We start from the raw sequence: 19,217 nt of genomic DNA on the forward strand, positions 1-19,217 counted from the left end.
ACCATTCAAATTAATCTTTGGTATTGCCAAAATATTTCTCATTTTATATATGCTGACCTAGAAATATGTCTGATAGAAATCTTCATGAGACAAGCTCCCAGAAGGCACCATTGCTAACACAGTTTATCTTCCTTTGTAAAATGTCTTTCTTTAATAGTTGCCTTGAGGTGCAAACAGAAAGTTAATATGTACCTATTTTTCTGACATTGGTTTCTAGGATTTTTTTTCTAAAAACAGATATACTTTCTTAATGGTTTCCCCAAATCAAGTGTCTGCATAATAGAAAAAGTAATGATCTGACAAAGACTCATTACCAATTTTCGATTACTAATGTCTCTCTTTAGAACATACAACAACTTCTTAATCTAAAAAGGAGGAGCTTGAAAGCCTTCACATCTGAAAAATCTAATTTTATCCCAGTTGTGTCTCCTTTACCAGGAAAAGCTAGATTATTTAGTTATAAATATTTATTCAGTTCTTCAGGAAAAGATGATCAGACTAGATTTCACTACGTCTGTACTTAACTGATGTGTTTGAAAAAGGAAATAAGAAATTACCTTGCTTGGTATCAGGTAATGCATTCTTTTTCAAAGAAATTCTAAATTTAGAAATATTAGAGTAATAGAATGGAAGACAGGTCAGAGAACACTGAGTCTATCCCCATTCCTTTACTTCACAGACATTATGGCCACATCAGTAGGATTAGGACCGGAGGTGGAGAAATAGAAGTGGACAGAGGTCTCATTATTGGGCCAGTTGGCCAGTCTTTGGTTGTGATTAGACTTAGTGTCAGTTTCCAAATCCTGCAATGTGGCAATTTAGGAGAGAGGCTACTAATGACTATGAAATGAGTGAGAGGACAAGGAGGAAGCTAAAAACAATGTAATAGGCTCAGTTTTGTTTTGTTTTGTTTTGTTTCCTGGCCAACAGGTATATTATGAATATCTCACATCAAAATGGTGACAAGAGATCTTATATCACTGCTTCTCAAAAGTGAAAATCTCTATATGTTAACCTTATTAGTCCCTATAATGATGCATCAGTAAAATAGGGAAAACATCATCTATGATTTGTTTTTTAATCCAATAAAACAGAGTGTAATAAACAAGAAAGGGAAAGTCAATAATATGAAGTTAGAAAAACAAAGTAGTGAAATGACATTGACATTGACTTGGAATAAGTAGCTACTTGGAAAGATGTCCATCAACAGCTCGTGGGGAGCTTGATGAACCTCTGGAAGTGGAAAGAACAGGCTGATGCTGAGACACTGTAAGAACAGAATAACTATCAATTGCTTTTTGTGTTTGTTACTCAGCTATTCATGTTCCTTGACTTGTTTTTTAACAAAAGAATTAATGTAATGTTCTTAGAACTTTCGTGAGATGTGTTTGTTCTTTCTTCAGAATTTGATTATAAATGGATATTTGGATATTAAGGAAGTTTGGCTTTGCAAAGTGACTTTATTGGCAAGTCAGTCCACCAGAAGTAGTGCTGTTTTGTTTCCCTTTTGTTTCATTATGTTTTGTTTTAAATCAGGGCACATAGTACTTGAAGGGAGACAAGAGATAGTCTACTCAAAGATTTCTTACATGAGACATAAAAAGAAACATCCCAAATCAATTTCAGTCAAAAGATCATTGAATAATCTCATTTTTCGTAATATTTAAAGCTGTTATGAAGATAATGCCATAGCAAATAGTAAATCTCCCTTAAAAGACACACATATTACGTACAACAGTGGAATAAATCTGCCTTCTGGCAAGAATTATTAGTGTTGAGCCAGATATAGCTATTTTGATAGCTAAGGAGTTCCCAGCACTTCCCTCTATAGGTTATGGCAAGCAATAAATTTCCTTGGCATACAGCAAAAGTCCAGGTACACCAGCATTTGTATTAAAAAGTAAACAAGGCAGGGCACGGTGGCTCATGCCTGTAATCCCAGCACTTTGAGGGGCCGAGGTGGGCAGATCACCTGAGGTCAGAAGTTCGAGACCAGCCTGACCAACATGGAGAAACCCCATCTCTACTAAAAATACAATATTAGTCGGGCGTGGTGGTGCATGCCTGTAATCCCAGCTACTTGAGAGGCTGAGGCAGGAAAATCACTTGAACCTGGGAAGCGGAGGTTGCAGTGAGGCAGGATCGCACCATTGCACTCCAGCCTGGGCAACAAGAGTGAAATTCCATCTCAAAAAATAATAGTAGTAATAATAATAAGTTTTTTTAAAAAGAAGTAAACAAAATCAGTATAAGATAGTAAAATCAGTGATAACCACTGCCTCAGAGCTGATTGCCAAGATAGACAGTATCTTGTCATTATTAAGAGAGAAGAAAATTAATGTGTTCCCCCTCCCCACAGGTTCAGGATGCATTTAGATGCCGATTGAGAAACTGTCAGGATCCCATCAATGCAGATTCTTCGAGTTCGTTTCCTAATGGGCATGCTCAAATCATGGTGAGTTTTTATTTTTCCCCGATTGTTAATTAACTCATGATTTCTCAAGGGAATAAAAGAAATCCTTATGAGTAAAATAGTGTAAAATTTTCATTTTGATTGACTTTGGCTTCAGTTCATTAATAGACTGTGAACTCTGGTACCACAGAAGTATTATTTCCAGATGGCTTCAGAGTCCAGGACATGTTGTTGGCTCCCTGGGGTGTTGAGTGTGGGAGTCCTATGCAACACTGTGAAGTATGTTCCTCCTTGCGTAGAATTAGGGCTAATGATTTATGCATAGGATCATGTGGATGTCTTTTACAGATCAGAACACTATGAACCTGCACTTCTAGTCTTAAAGCAGTGGTTCTTGGCCTTAGTGAAACATTGGAATCATCAGGGGAGCTACACCACAGACCAATTAAAATCAAAATATTGGGAGTAGGACCTAGGTATTGGTGATTCCAGTATGCAGCCTAAGATGAGAACCACTGTTCTAAAGTGTAAGGAGTAGCCACTCTTTTAGTGAAAGACCAGTTATTGTACATGAGCTCTGGTTATTATTGGAATCAAAGTGTACTTTAGGTATAACCACTTTGATGTATTTTAGAAATAAGATGAGATTTAAACTCTGTCATTTAAAGCAGGAATTAAATAGGACAGTTTTACTTTTACAGTATATTCAATTTATTATTAACTTTTTTGAACTAGGCAACAATAATAAACTAGATGATACATTAGTAACTAAGACTTTACAAAGAATAATCAACTCCTTACTAAAAACAAATAGATAGCCAAAATCTCTGATTTAAAATATTAATAGGGAAAGGCATTTGATTGGAAGACCCTGATCAAGATAATGAAATTTTATCATTTCAAAACATTAATTGATTTGCTTAAAATAAAAGTTTTAGGAAAATATGAGGTCACAACTAAACCCCAGAAGGTTCTCGACCAGATGAGTATGGTTTAATCTTCAGTTTTAAGTCCTAAACCTGAAAGCTTTTTGCCACATTTGAGTGAAAATGAATCATTAGAAGAGCCTAGTTTGAGCCTAGTTTAACCTAGTTTGACAAAGCTGGATTCTAAGATGTTACATTACAAGCAATATATTCAAATTGAATGTTTAAAAATGCCAATAACAAACATAATTATTTAAGAATATTCATAATAATTCACATTCTGATGTCTTTATTATGGTTAGAGAATTGCCTTAAAATTCTATCCTTCTAATATATAGTAATCAGTTTCCAGACTGAAGATGACACTGGGTATTGTATTATCTTATTAAAATTGTGTGCTATGTTTCCTTTGATTTTATTTAACATTTGGGCTCTAGAAAACACTGTTGAAAACAATCTAATTATACATAGAGAAATTTCCTATGAACAAAACAATAAACTTGTACTGCCAAGTTAGATATCTGTAAACTTCAGATAATCTGATTAGTAAAAGACACTTGAGGTCTTCATTAAATGATGGTTCTATGTCTTATTATTTATTGTTACAGACAGACTTTGAAAAGGATGTAGACATTGCCTGTCGATCAGGTAAGAATATTTAGATTTTGAAATCTAATCAGTAGGGATGTTCAATCATTTCTATAGATTTTAATTTTAAAGAAAATGCTGTGGTTTACACATTACATATTGTTCTGTGAAAGGGCTGTATATGTAAAGCAGCCCCCAAATGCCAAAGGAGCTGAGAAACCAAAGAACGAGGCAGAAAAATCCAGTTGTTGGTAAAAGGTAGGATATTAGGGAACTTACAGACAGGAGTGTAGTCTTGGGCAGCAGCAAGACAGATAGATCCCCACACAGTTACTCTTCAGACACAGGGTTTATATACCATAGGGAAAGGGGAAACATGCTGTATAGACAATTAAAGGCAACCCTCCAGAATGGGCAAGAGTGCTATGTGCCTCATAGCCTATGATTTGTACAATAACATCAAGGTTGCTTTGATCTACAGGCAGAATTTGTAATGAGTACATGTTCTTACATTAAGCACACTAAATAAAGTAAGAATCAGGAGGCATTCATAGGACTGGGGTTATTGAGAAATCAAAATGGTGGATTAGCATTCAAGATGGAGTCACTGTCTCCATATTTATGTGTATGACAAAATAGAATTCTTAAAATGGAAGGACTGTAATAATGGAAGTGTGTTTGTGGAGGAAGAAGGAGAGAGAGAGAGAAAAAGAGAGAGAGAACAAGAGAAATGAGAGAAAAACTAAGAATGGTTCATTGGAAACACCATGACAGCAGAAAAACTTTCACATGGAGACATAAGATTTCCATTCCACCAAGTAATGGTTGTTGGGTGTAAGGCCAGTCAATTTAACCTTTCTGTGCCTCTATTTTATCAAGTACGGAATATGGGTTATTGTAAAGATGGAATTGCATTGTCTGTATGTGTATTAAGGTTGTTGTGGTTTTAATTTTACAAAGGGTGAAGAGAAGCTCTGCAGCACGTCCTGTTTAGAGGGTTGTATGCCATAATCTCCCAGCCTGTGGCTAAATTCTCACCAGAGTAGATGGCTCAATAGTTTTAAAGGAAACTATATGTTCAATTTTGGGGGATAGTTCCAATTGTTGGAATATGGTCCTTTGTAGGAACAGAATATGCCTCATTTTACCTTTTATTTGTTGATCTTGGTGCTGCCTTTCAAAACAACAGTGAATATCTACTTCATCTAAATATCCAACTATCTTAAAGCAATTATCATTTAGCCCAATCCAAGTATTTTTTTCTTCAGATTAAACAAGCCTTGTTTCATCCTTCATTTCTTGTAGCATTCTCTGAGGCACGATGCCCAAGGTAGCCTCCGATTTATCAATAATTTTAAATTATCGTGCTCAAATATATACATGTTCACCCAGCATTTATCACAGTGGGCTCTTTACTTGTATTAATGATTTGCATATGATTTCTATTTCAGTACTAGTGTCAACTTACCTGAAATTCCTAAAACTTTTTGTAGAAGTTGTCAGGGCATCCCCAGTCTTATTTGTAAAGGTTTTGTTTTTGGTATGTTTTCCTTGAAAAAGAAATTTGTCCTTTGCAGTTATGTCTATTTGCTATTATTTTACCAATTTCAGGTTAGCATACTATCCATTTCCATTGTTTGGTGACTAAAAGTTTTATAAGACTACCTTCTAAGTCTTTATTCAAACTGTAGTTAAAAGAGTTGAATGGCATGAAACCTAGTAGAGAAACCTGCTATATTCAGTAAGGCACCCCCTTACTGCCAGCAGACCTCCTCTACATGGAGCTTTCAGATTCAACTCAAAACCATTAAACATCTGTACAGAATCTCAGGTCCTGTCATGATCACAAGAATATGAGAAACTAATCTCATATTCTCATTCCTGGATTTAATCTAAATACTCTATGTAGAGTATGGTCATAGCAAAACAGTAAGGTAACTATCATGATTTGGCAACCTGTAGTGGACCTGCACTGGGCATTAGAAATCACTATCTCCTGTTGAAAACCTAACAAAATGTTGTCAGGATGCAGTCTCACTAGTGCTTGGTTTCCAGAATTGATCGTTTTCCTTTTTTGGATAATTGATATAATATTGTCACTGTGCTCCATCCACCTGCCATAATTTCTCAAAAATCACTAGCCATGGTGCCAATTTCCACATCTATGTTCCAAGATGGAATGTGATTTGTCCGGGTTTAGAAGCTTGAATTTATTTACAATGAATAAGTATTCATTTAATTCCTAATCTTCCACCTTCAGTGTTGTTTTTTTCAGCCTCATTTGGTGTACTCATTACAGTTCTCCTTGACAGAGAAGCAATATAAGAGCAGACAGGTTTGTCTTTCCTCTAACAGCTGTAACATTAAACCAGTGGTTGTCAAAGAGTGGTCCCTAGACCATCAGTGTTATCATCACCTGAGAACTTATTAGAAATGCATATTTTGAGGCCCTAACCCAGGCCTTTGGGGTCTGAAACTGGAGGTTGGGGTATAGGAACTAGTTATAAGCCATCCAGATAATTTTGATGCATGCTAAAATTTGAGTACCACTGTATTAGACCATCCTCCTCAAGCTGTGATCTCATCTCTGCAGTATTTATCTTGTTCTCCTTCATTAAATTACAGATTTTTCCCGGGCCTCATTGTATGCTGGGATTTAGCATCCCTAATACAGGCCAGTGCCATTATTTTATTAGAAAATAATTTTTCTAATGTTTTCATTTGTTATTGGTGCCCTTTTCAGTTGAGCCCATTAGGATCTTTCTTCTGAGTTTATCTAGAGTTGTCTGTCTATGTTGAAGCGTATTCATGAACTCTGAATAATCTTTCTTTATACTGAGGTGAAATTCACTTCCCTAAATGGCAGCATTTCCATCTGATCATGCCAAATATTCAGTTGCTTTATATTTTGTTTGAAGTTTGTGTTTCACTACTTGATTAGTTTCTCTCGAAAGTCCCATCACTTTAACATCATGTTTTCGTGTGTAGGTGGTATGATTTGTTTATGCTGTATATTCAAAACTTGGATATACATTTTAAGTAAGTCTAAGAGGCAGGCATTTCTCTCGTATAGAGCAGCCACTACTGCAAAAGAAGAATTATCTTTCTTTACACACACACGTATATATATATATATTTTTTTTCAGCAAACACAACTATATCACTTGATTGAAATGTGTTGGCTATAATTATAAATCATATTACATTTGTGCAAAACTTAATGTATCTTGTACGAATTTAAATTATAGAGTCAATACACAGTACCAATACTTCCTTTATAGTTTTTTAATAAAAGATTAAACTTATCTATATATTTTAATGAAACAAAATAGGTTCCCATATATTTTACTGCTATAAATTTTGGAATTATTTTTATATACAATTAAGGGTTAAAAGTGTTCCTTACTGAATTTGGAGATTTTTTTTAAGTATTTATTTACAATATCATTAAATCATTACAATATCATTAAATTTAGCATACTTTGCCCCTTACTATGTCATGTATCATTACTCCTGGAAATTACAACTCATTATTGATCTATTATATTAAGACTTTTGGAAATAACTTTTTAAAACTGAATTATTCTACTTTTTATTATGTATAACACTTAATTACATAAAAAGGCACAGCAAAATTGTTAATCTTAAAAAAAAGATGTAAATTTAACATGATTTTTACTGCCTAAGATAAAGAGACAATAATACAATAACTAGATATAATATCTTTCAAGATAACAGATATTACATGAATGATTCATGTTTTGAAATAATTTTAAAGTCTTGTTTCTATGTAACAGGGAAAGACATAATCTTTTTCAACTTCTGCTTTAATGAATAATAATTATGATTCTACTTGAAAATTGGATAATAATGGAAAAAAATCAGTATATCTGAAACTTTTTATGAGGAGACAATAAACCAGACTTTTACAGTCATCTATGCCTAATGAAATTTTAAATGATGATTGCTCTACTTCGTAGGTAGGTTAGCACCAGATGTGCATGTTGAACCAACTTCGCACAGCGCTATTCTGTGTGCTTTCAATTCCAAAGTTACAAAAATAAGTCTTCAGAATTTTATTCATTTGTATCCTCAAAACTGATGATTGTTCATAACTAAGCATGCTTTGTGTTATTCTGCCCTATTATCCCCAAAACATGGCTTTCTTTTTATACAGAGGCAAAAAGAGAAAAAAAAACTAAAATATATTTTAATAAAGAATTATTTACTCTTTTGTTGATTGTTTTTGTTTGGTTTGGTTTGCATTTTTGTTTTGTTCCCTTTCATACTACAAGTTATCATAGATTTTTTTCCCTAAATCATTATTCTTAGGCTTAAAGTGGAACAAAGATTTTGGAGGTTCATAAAGTGTTTTTTTCTTAAACTCAGCTGGCAATTTTAATATTCCCGCAAGGGCATTCCAGCTTATAGATTAATTTTTTAAATTTTCTTTCTTCCATATAAAACTGAATATGATAAATACTTTTGAATATTGTATCCACCTTGACCATATGGACTTCAGTGAAAAAATCCTCATTAATTTTCAATATGCATAATTTTTGGAGGGATTTCTGATCCAGTAGGATGAAGTTCCCATTAATTATCCCTTCAAGAAGCATTTTAATGAGCGTAACTTCTAGAACACATTGGAGGGAAAGCCATTAAGAAAAAAATCAAATTTGTATGAATATGTTCATAATTTTACAAAAATCCTTTGGAGCACATTGATGGAGAAAACTTCTCTGGTAATCTCCTATTTCCCTGAAAAGTTATATGGAGTTGTTTAAGGACAGGGTACTAAGATTTTTGAAAGCCCATTAATCAACTTTCAGATTTGCTTTAGCTATGGGCTACCTGAGATCTATGAGAGCATAACAGAATCAATGAAAAGTGATTGAGTAATCTCTCTGGACCATGTACAAACAAATTGATATGTATTTTTTTTAAATAACATACCTACCAAATAATATATCTTTAATGTTTAGTAGAAAGCGAGACAACATAATATAATAATGAAAAATAAACACACATTAACTCTCTTTCTTCAACTTTACATTCCTACTCACAGTTCTTCATAAGGATATTGGTCCTTGCCGAGCAGCCACAATAACAGGAACACTTTCTAGGATTTCTCTAAATGATGATGAAGAAGAAAAGGGAACAAACCCTGAAGGGCTAAGCTATTCAACATTGCCTGGAAATGTCATTTCCAAAGTCATCATCCAGCAACCCACAGGTTTGCACATGCCCATGAGTATGAATGAGCTTAGCAATCCATGTTTGAAAAAAGAAAATAGTGAATTGCGGAGAACTGTGTACTTATGTACGGATGATAATTTGAGAGGGGCTGACATGGACATAGTCCATCCTCAAGAAAGAATGATGGAAAGTGACTATATTGTGATGCCCAGAAGTTCTGTAAATAACCAGCCTTCAATGAAAGAAGAAAGCAAAATGAATATTGGCATGGAAACCTTGCCGCATGAAAGGCTATTGCACTACAAAGTAAACCCTGAATTCAATATGAATCCCCCTGTAATGGACCAGTTCAATATGAACTTAGAGCAACATCTCGCACCCCAGGAACATATGCAGAATTTGCCCTTTGAACCTCGCACAGCTGTGAAGAATTTCATGGCCTCTGAGTTGGATGATAATGCAGGACTATCAAGAAGTGAAACTGGATCAACGATATCAATGAGTTCTTTAGAGGTGAGCCACAGAAGATTAAATTTTTCCTTGATAGTTGAAATATGAATAGATATAAATAGAGATATTGATTGATTGGTTGATTGATTGATGTGACACTGGTGTGGGAAGAGAAGATTCACATTAGCTTTTGCAGTTTTGTATCATGAAAATTTCTGGCTATTGAGATTCAGTCTCAATGTAGGGTTTTCTCAGTAGTGTATTATCATCCCCTTATTCAAGATAATATTTGAAAAGGAACCCATTATATTTAAAAAGATACTAATCAGTCATAATTCTGTCATCATGGGAACTAAGGCACTCATAAAAAATAAAATAAAATAAATAAATAAATAAATAACAGGATTCTTCTGATGTTTCTCAGGTACCACAGGTCCTTTTGGTGCACAGTGTCTACGTGGCATTACAAACTTAAACTGAGATCTGCACTTTCTGTGTAACAGCAACTGTTAAAAATTACAAAATTGGAATATTTCTCTAAATGTTTTACCATTATACTGATGAAAAACTAATTATTATTACAGTAGATCAATATTATTCAGAGTAAATATTTTGCTCTTAACTTACAGAATAATGACCATTAAAATTTTGCATCTTAGACTGTGAATTGTCAGGAAGAATGTAATCTGAGCATACTAACAGGATTCTGAGGTCCAACCACATGGCCTTTTTGTTTTCATAAGGCCACCAAAAGCAAAGAGTAAACTCGTCACTGCTTATACAGTGAAAAATAGCTGTAAACCTGTGGTTGACATATATATTCATATACGATGCAATACATGCATACTTTTATATGATTGCCACTTGTTTTAGTATAATAGATTATTACATAAAACACTATCTACAGAAAGGCACTATAATTAGTTGCCTGCCCTTTCCAACCCAGTTATGCTGATAATTGTATGTTCAAGTGTCCAAAAGTTCCCAGAGGCAATTGTTTCATGCTTCTCCCCAAAGCCATTCCTTCCACTAGGTCAAAATGAAGAGGCATTCTGAGAGTCTTAAAAAATGCGATGAATAAGGTAATTTTCAGGGTTTTCCCAATTGATTGAGAAAATTCTAGACAATAAATGGTAATGTGAATAGAATCTAAGATAAGTCCCTAAGTTCTGGATCACCCTCAAACTGAGTAAGGCTTCTGAGGATAACTAGGTCAGAATCATTCTTCAGAACCAAAGGCATAGATAGGGCTTCATTAGAAGCCAAGTTCAACTCCAGGGTGACTGAAGCTCCCTTCTGAACAAAAGTATTTCATCCTCCTGAATTAGCAGAATAGCTGCAGTTTCTTTATTTGTAACTTGCATATCCCAGAGACTTCCAGGTTTGTAATAATGACCACATAAGAACAAACTACAAAATATTTATGCAAAAATCACAGAAGTTTTTAAAAGGATTTTCAGTAAGTGTGCATATAATAACATAACATTATAAGTAATCATAATGACTATATGGAAGTTTTCTGTATAGTGTGGCTCTTTTAAATGTGTTAAAGGGGGTTGAATGGAACTGCATGAAAATATTTTGGTTGTTACAAAAATGTTTTACATCTAAAAGCCTGAAAATTTTGCTGGATTGATATTGTACAGGTTATCTGTGCTTGAACAATAGACTGTATTTCCAAGAACTTCTTTCTTCAGTTTGTAATTTTTCCAAATTTCCGTATCCTTATTATTAAGTGTATTATATATAACTGTGATTCAGCCAAAAGACCTGCATTTAAATGACTTAGAGATCACAAGACTTACATCTTGAAAAGGAAGGAAATTTGGAATTCAGAATGAAAATTTGGTTCTTCATTTTCATTCTTTAAATGAATTTAATAGTAATTGCTTAGGGTGACTATTTTATGAGATAGCAGAAAGAGAATATATAGATGTGGGAATGAATAATAAAAATTAGCATTTATATAGCATCTTTCATTAGCAGATCCTCAAATCACTTTAAAAACAGGAATTAATCTTCACAACACCTCCATGCAAGGGATAAGTTGTTATAATCCTCAAACTAGAGTCATTTGTTCAAGGTTATAGAGCAAGTGCATAGCAAATCTAGGAATAGAATCTTTCTGTCCTGATCAATTTTATGCCATCTAGAAGAGACAGTAATGAGCCTGAATATTAGCATGAAGGTAACTTTAAAGTTCTTTCTAATCCTTGATAGGCATTTGGTCTTATGATTAATAAAGACATGAAATGGGTAAAGCCCTTGTCCTTTAAGTGTGTACAACTAACACATTTTGGAAATGGGGCTGTGTTCATGAAGATAAAGTTTTTGGTCTGGCTTTCTTCTCGGGCAGCATGATGCATTGTCAAGTAGAATTATCAGCTCTGCTAGATTGCGTATGCAGGGTCAACTGGTGAGGGAGATGCTATTCTGACAATAATAAAGGAAAAGCAGAAAAATGACCTGAGTATCTACATAGAGAGTGGGATTAACAGTAGTCAGGAGGTGTTTTGAGTCTTAGAAGATAATGTTAAGGTGAAAATGGTAAATAATGTGGATCACATGAGGCCTAAGCAATAGGACAATTTAAGTCTTTTCTCCCTGTAAGTAAGAAGGAAGATTAAAGCCATAGAGAACATCCAGCCTGGGCAGCTGGCACAGCAGAGGATGGCCAAGATCCTCAGGATACTTTCAAGGATATAATATAAAGACGCTCACATTTTACCTCCAGAGGAGTCAGTTTTCACAAACTGCCAGCATGGAAAGTGCTGAAGGAAAAAACAGAAGAAGGTAAACACTGCCAGTTGTAGAATAGAATTTGATAGAAAGTGGAAAAGAGGAAAAACGAGAGTTGAGGGAGGAAAAAAGAAAGCCAAAAAGAGTGCAGAGGGTGAGTGGGTGGAAGTATTTATTCAAATAAGCAAGAAGCAACAAAGAAAGAAGGAGGCTCCCCAACCCCGAAGTCAGTGCCAGCACAACAGCTTCCAGCCTTCATGGGAGTTTGTTCAGCTAACCACCAATTATTGGATATAAAAAGTTCAATAAATTCATGAAGTTTCTTGGCATAAAAACATATCTAGATTTTCTCTGAGCCTAATAGTACCTTGTTTCTTTCCTTCTGGTGATATGTTCTCTTTCTAACTGTAGTCATTCCCAAATGAACTTGTTAAGCAATTCTGAAAACTTTAGATACAGAGCTGCCACTATTATGGAACAATTGCAATACTAATATACTAAGATTTTTCACAACAATGGCTCCAGCCCTAAATATCCTGTAACTGCTTTGCTTAAGGTTAAGAAGAATGATATTGTTGTCAGCACTTTAGTCATTTACCTTCAATTAATGAACAAAATGTGATGAGTGCATGGTGTATACATAGAGCAAAACAACAGCAACAACAAAAAACATACTAAGATTTTGCTTTTGAGCAAGAGGGGACAAAAGAGATATCATGGTTCTCAAGCACTTGAGGACTATAAAATCTAATTTAAACCTTGGATTGTTCTTTATTTATTTCCTGAAAAATTATAGTTGTAACATTGTAGAGAGACAGGTCAGTGTTTGTTCTGAATCATTGAAACTCTGGTATTTACTTTAGCAGGTTGTAGAAGTTAGATTTAAATAGTAAGCATTTTTTCACTCAAGAGTCTTTCCAACTTATGTGCACATCTTGGACATGTTTAGCACATGGTCCATTCTTCACTCTTTTCCCTGTATCATTCAAGGTTAATTTAGGTTCTTGAGTCACTGGCTTTTGGCTGGGTTCTACCAACAGGAAGCACTGGTGAGAGAGTAGAGGTTGAGGAAAAGAGGGAAACCTGGGATCTTTCTCCCTTACTCTTTCTGCTTTTGGAAGCACCTTGTATGTCTGGTGTAGTTCCCACAGTGCTTCCAGTATATGCCAGGTGCTGCAACCTCTGGGCTTAAATCACTCTGCCCTCTCTTTGTATCTGTCCAGCCTAGGAGGTACACTGACCTCTTCTGCGAATCCCTGGGTTACTACATGGTCCCCTATGTGGCATCTCAGTTCTTCTATCATTTGAATTTTTGTGGACCATCTTGCTGAAATGTAAACACCTTAAGTGGTTTCTGTTGTTCTTGCCTTAATTTTTCTTATCAATAAAAAACTTAATAACTGATAACAGTTAGATAGTACATTACAAAATGCTTACCCAAAATAGAAGATTTTGTTGTTTTAGCTTGTCTATTTGTGTATAAGCTTACCTATATGTCTGAAACCAAATAAGTCTCTCTCAATTTGTAATGGCCAGAAAGGACACCATTCTAGGCTAAATTTTTATACACCAGTTTTTCTCTGGACATGAATTATAGAGCTCTCAGCATAATGGTTTTTAAAGGTAAAATATTTTAGCAATAATATCACATTACAGGTGCCTCCCTTACAGCTGTTGTGAGGATCAAATTAGATAATGTACATGAAAAACCTTTGAAATTGTAAGAAGCACTTTAGATGTAAGATTATGTTATTATTATGTCATTACTGTAATGCCCTGAATTTCTGCAAAGAAATTTGAATGCTGAGTTAAATCGATATTCACAATATTAGAAAAAATGTTATGGCCTCACTCAGGAACTGGGGCACTCTGTCACTAACAGAAACCATTATAAAATTGACCATGTGCAGAAACAACTTTTTCTTTTTTACATTTTTTTCTCTTTTACATTTTTTTTCTCATGTAAGTCTGATGAAAGGAAAACTTGCCCTTTTTTACTGTTTTGCTTTTACTCCTGGATTACAGAATTTTGTCTCTCTTGCAGGCGTACAACAAAATTAGCTTGAATAAAAGTCATTTTTAAAAATTAATTATTCTCAGGTATCATTTCTGCAGCTATTTTTAGTGGATTTGCTACCAGAACTTTCTCCTTGCAAGTAGGTTTATTGGTCACTTTGTAATAGAAATTTTAATGGCATATTGCCATTCATTAGTCAGTGGAATTTATTACTTGCTGTGAATCTTCTAGTATCTTGTCCAGCTTAATTTGCAGTGACGAAAATAATGAAGTATTCCCTTTGAGAAATTATTCATCATTCTACAAGACTTAGATGTGGAGAAATGCCTCTATGCATACATTCACTAAGTATTCCTTTGAGTAGCTTCATACTGTTGTACATTTTCTCACTTTTAAATCATCGTAAAGAATTTCTCCTTTCTATTAGTGATAGGCCTTCCTTCCTGCAAATTGTCTTGATTCTCTTAGCTGTCAGTTGACCTGTTCATAATGGTTTTCGTTGTGTGTTTAGTCTACCTGCTTAAACAAATTCTCTCAGAGTATGCCCAAGCAAAGCAGCAACAACAAAACAAAAATAAAAAGTCACATTCTTTTGAACACTTTTGGCTGTTGTCGTGCAGCTCTTTTAATCATTTACCAATAATTTTGTGAATGTCTCCTATTGTGCCATGCCCTCTGCTAGATGCTGCGGATCTAAATGTAATCAAGATAGAAATGGATCTTGCCCCTGTGGAGAATACACCCTATGGCAGAGACAGACAACCATTAAACCAATGAATGAAATAGTGTGCAGTAATGGGTAATAACTATGGAATGAAAGGGAGAGATTTCTCTAGATAAGGTGGTCTGGGAAGCATCTGAAAGTGTCATTTATTGTAAGAAATAAAATTGAGAAGTAATGTGGCTTGCAAGGAGCTGAGGGAATTTTTCAGGCAAAAGAAACTGTAAGTGCAGTGATCCTGAGGTAGAAAAGAGTTTTGGCATATTCTCATAAGATCACAATACCTGTGTAGCTAATGTTGAACTCCTTAAGATGAAGTTAAAATGCAAAGGAGAGACCAGACTTTGCAGAGTCTTGTAAAGCAATGGAAGCAAATGAGGACTGTTAAGCAAAAGATTGTCACAATGTGTCTTTATAGCAGCATGATTTAGAGTTCTTTGGGTATATATCCGGTAATGGGATGGCTGGGTCAAATGGTATTTCTAGTTCTAGATCCCTGAGGAATCGCCACACTGACTTCCACAATGGTTGAACTAGTTTACAGTCCCACCAACAGTGTAAAAGTGTTCCTATTTCTCCACATCCTCTCCAGCACCTGTTGTTTCCTGACTTTTTAATGATTGCCATTCTAACTGGTGTGAGATGGTATGTGATTGTGGTTTTGATTTGCATTTCTCTGATGGCCAGTGATGATGAGCATTTTTTCATGTGTTTTTTGGCTGCATAAATGTCTTCTTTTGAGAAGTGTCTGTTCATGACACATGCACACGTATGTTTATTGCGGCATTATTCACAATAGCAAAGACTTGGAACCAACCCAAATGTCCAACAATGATAGACTGGATTAAGAAAATGTGGCACATATACACCATGGAATACTATGAGGCCATAAAAAATGATGAATTCATGTCCTTTGTAGGGACATGGATGAAATTGGAAAGCATCATTCTCCGTAAACTATCGCAAGAACAAAAAACCAAACACCGCATATTCTCACTCATAGGTAGGAATTGAACAATGAGATCACATGGACACAGGAAGGGGAATATCACACTCTGGGGACTGTGGTGGGGTGGGGGGAGGGGGGAGGGACAGCATTGGGAGATATACCTAATGCTAGATGACGAGTTAATGGGTGCAGCGCACCAGCATGGCACATGTATACATATGTAACTAACCTGCACAATGTGCACATGTACCCTAAAACTTAAAGTATAATATTAAAAAAAAAGATTGTCACAATGATTTTTCCATCGATTCAACTATCCATCCGTCCATTCATCCATAACTTTGGTTGTTCAGAAAGCAAAGGATTAGAAGCCAGAGGTTTTAGGAGAGGAGATAGAACAGAAAGTTGGATAACAGTCAGAAAGCTGCTGAAGTAATCCAGACAAGAGATAACAGTTGCTTTGACTGTGCAGGTGAAAGTGGAGATAGAAAACAGTGGGCAGAACAAGACGTATTTCAGAGATAGAACAGATGGCACATGCTGGTGGATTGAATGTGGAAAACGAGGGACAGAAAGGAAGGAAGGGTGACTCCTGAGTCTCTCGCTTGACCAATTAGAAATCCAGCATTTTCTATCATGGGAAAGGCAGGAGGAATAAAAGATGTTTGGAACTTAAAAGATGGTATTCAAAATCATGGGAATGAATTATGGTATCCAGAAGAGAATAAGAGAAAGAAGAGAGCCCAGGAACTCAACATTTAGAAGGCAGGGATATGAGAGAGCCAACAAAGGGGACTTCAGCATAAGCTGCAGCAAGAAAGAGGGGGAAAAATAAGAAGACTGAGAGCTGATGAGTGTTTTCATGAGAAAATTATTAACTTTCAAAAGCTTCTGAGTGTCCAATAAGATGGACAGAAAATTGACCTTGGAATTTGACCAGATGGAGCTCATCAGAGACTGTCAGCAAGAGGAATTTTAATGGAGTATTGAGAATAGAATACAAGTTGAGATGAGTTCTAAGTGGGAAATTAAGAAGAGGAAACAGCATAGAAATTAGGAAGAGGAAAGAGCATAGAAGGTTTCCATTACCTACTTTGAGAAAAAGGATTATTTACGTTAGGTTATTTGCAAAATTGGAATATATGTACAGAGGGATTTGTATCTTCATTAAATATTTCAATATCACCTATCCCTGGCTTATATTAAATTTACATGTAGCATTTTTAAAAGTTATCAGATTATCAGAAAAATTGTTATGGCTTGACCACTTTTCTCAGTTGGTTCTTAATTTAAAACATACATAACAATTTCCAATCACTTTCTTCTCTGGAATTAATATTTTAGAGAGCTCAGAAAGACATTTGAATAAACATGCAAGTCAGTTAGGGTTTCAATAAACTTCAATACTTTGAAAGACTTTCCAATACACTGTATGTATACCAACGGTGGAAACAGACCAAAACTGAACAGAATTGAATGTTCTTATTCTTTCTTTACACCATCAATTTCCCAATGCCCCATGCCCCTTTAAGATAAACTAAGGCTGGGGTGGAGCCTCACGCCTGTAATCTCAGCACTTTGAGAGGCTGAAGCAGGTGGATCGCTTGAGCCCAGGAGTTCAAGATCATTCTAGGCAACATGACAAAATCTTATCTCTACAAAAAATGCAAAACTTAACCAGGTGTTGTGGCACATGTCTATAGCCCCAGCTACTAGGAGGGCTGAGGTGGAAGGATCACTTGAGCCCTGAATGTTGAGGCTGCAGTGAGCTGTGATCATGCCACTGAACCCCGGCCTGGGTGACAGAGCAAGACCATTTCAAAAAAAAAAAAAAAAAAAGAGAGAGCGAGTCATGTCTGGAGGTGGAGAAGTCTCCTACTGTTTGTTATTGTATCATTGCTTATAAATGATTGCACATTAGAATGATTTCTAAGTTATTTTACTCAACACAGATATTTTCTCAAATATGTAAATATCAAATTGCTAGGTTTTTTTTCTCCTTCAAAATGCAATTGACAAGTAAAAGTTAACCTGCTTGACCTTGCTTTATGCTTAGAAAGTCAGACTTGGACTGACTGGCTCATCTATTGTTATTTTTGCTGAGTCTGGTAACAATTAGCAAAACATCACAGGCATTTTTACTGTAACATATCACTCCTGTATTACTGAGAAGACAGCAAGAGATAGTAAATGAAATGCTGCGCTTGTAGTCAGAAGTCCTGAGTTTGAATCCCAACTCATTTGCTTACCACACAGGTGAAGTGGGCAAGTAATTTTAACTCCACTGACCCTCAATTTTTCTTATTCATAAAATAAGGAAAATAAATAATATTTTATCCGACCATCCCACTGGTGGGTAGCATGTGCAAATGTGAAAGTGCTATATAAACAATAAAAGGTTGAAACACTTGGTCAGTATTGTGGAAACCTGAATAACTTTACACACATTTTTAACTCACTTGGACTGTAAAAATCTGTCATTTTTTCCCACTCTCTAATTTTTAAGGCTTTACTGCTTTATTTTGCATCCACTCCAAATCCCACCACCATCTTTAGGTTCTTTTGATTAAAATCTGTTTGTTTGATTTGTTCATTCCTTAGTCTAATCCTTCAAGACTGCCAGTTCTGCTATGCCTTATGTTAGAATTTAATTTTAATAAAATTAAATAGGAATGAGATCTACTTGTATGAGTGTATCCATTTTCCTTCCATATTTCACATTGACATACCTGCTCTCAGAAACAGAATCTATCTCTGGTGATCTAGGTTCCTGTCTTTTGCTCTTGCTTCTAAATCTTTTTCACAAAATGTCACTATTTAATTTTCAAATAAAATGCAAAGCTCATGACTAATGTTTTATAATTATTGCTTAAAACTGTTTCCAGCCTTGAATTTTGCTGTATTAAGAAAGAATCTTGCTTAATGTATACTGACAAAAATGTCCTGCTTAGTCACAGTGCCAAGAAAGGTATCCAAGAGCAGAATGGAAGCCCTGACATTTAGTCTAGCATATTGCAGCAAAGTGTGGTGCAGTACACTGGAGCCTGGTTTTTACACAGCACAGTTAGATAACAATAGTGGCGGGGAGATGGCAAAAGAGGGCTGGGCTCAATGCCTGGATGTCACCACGGCGAGGCTGAGGTGCTGTTGGAGACAAGAAGAAAGTGAGATCAACCTGCTGAGTTTTTATTTAATAAAGCAGTCTCCTTTCAGCC

General features: G+C 35.3%; 1 protein-coding gene across 1 annotated transcript in view; it reads left to right on the forward strand.

The window, feature by feature from the left end:
- Positions 1 to 19,217, forward strand: part of ADGRB3 (adhesion G protein-coupled receptor B3) — a 754,225-nt gene that overhangs the window by 716,592 nt on the left and 18,416 nt on the right. The window contains exons 27-29 of the mRNA NM_001704.3: positions 2,360 to 2,455; positions 3,948 to 3,987; positions 8,996 to 9,639. Of these exons, the coding sequence (NP_001695.2) occupies positions 2,360 to 2,455; positions 3,948 to 3,987; positions 8,996 to 9,639 (780 nt within the window). The remainder of the gene's footprint in view (positions 1 to 2,359; positions 2,456 to 3,947; positions 3,988 to 8,995; positions 9,640 to 19,217) is intronic.

The sequence above is a fragment of the Homo sapiens genome, chromosome 6 (assembly GCF_000001405.40).
Source record: "Homo sapiens chromosome 6, GRCh38.p14 Primary Assembly".
Lineage (NCBI taxonomy): Eukaryota > Metazoa > Chordata > Mammalia > Primates > Hominidae > Homo > Homo sapiens.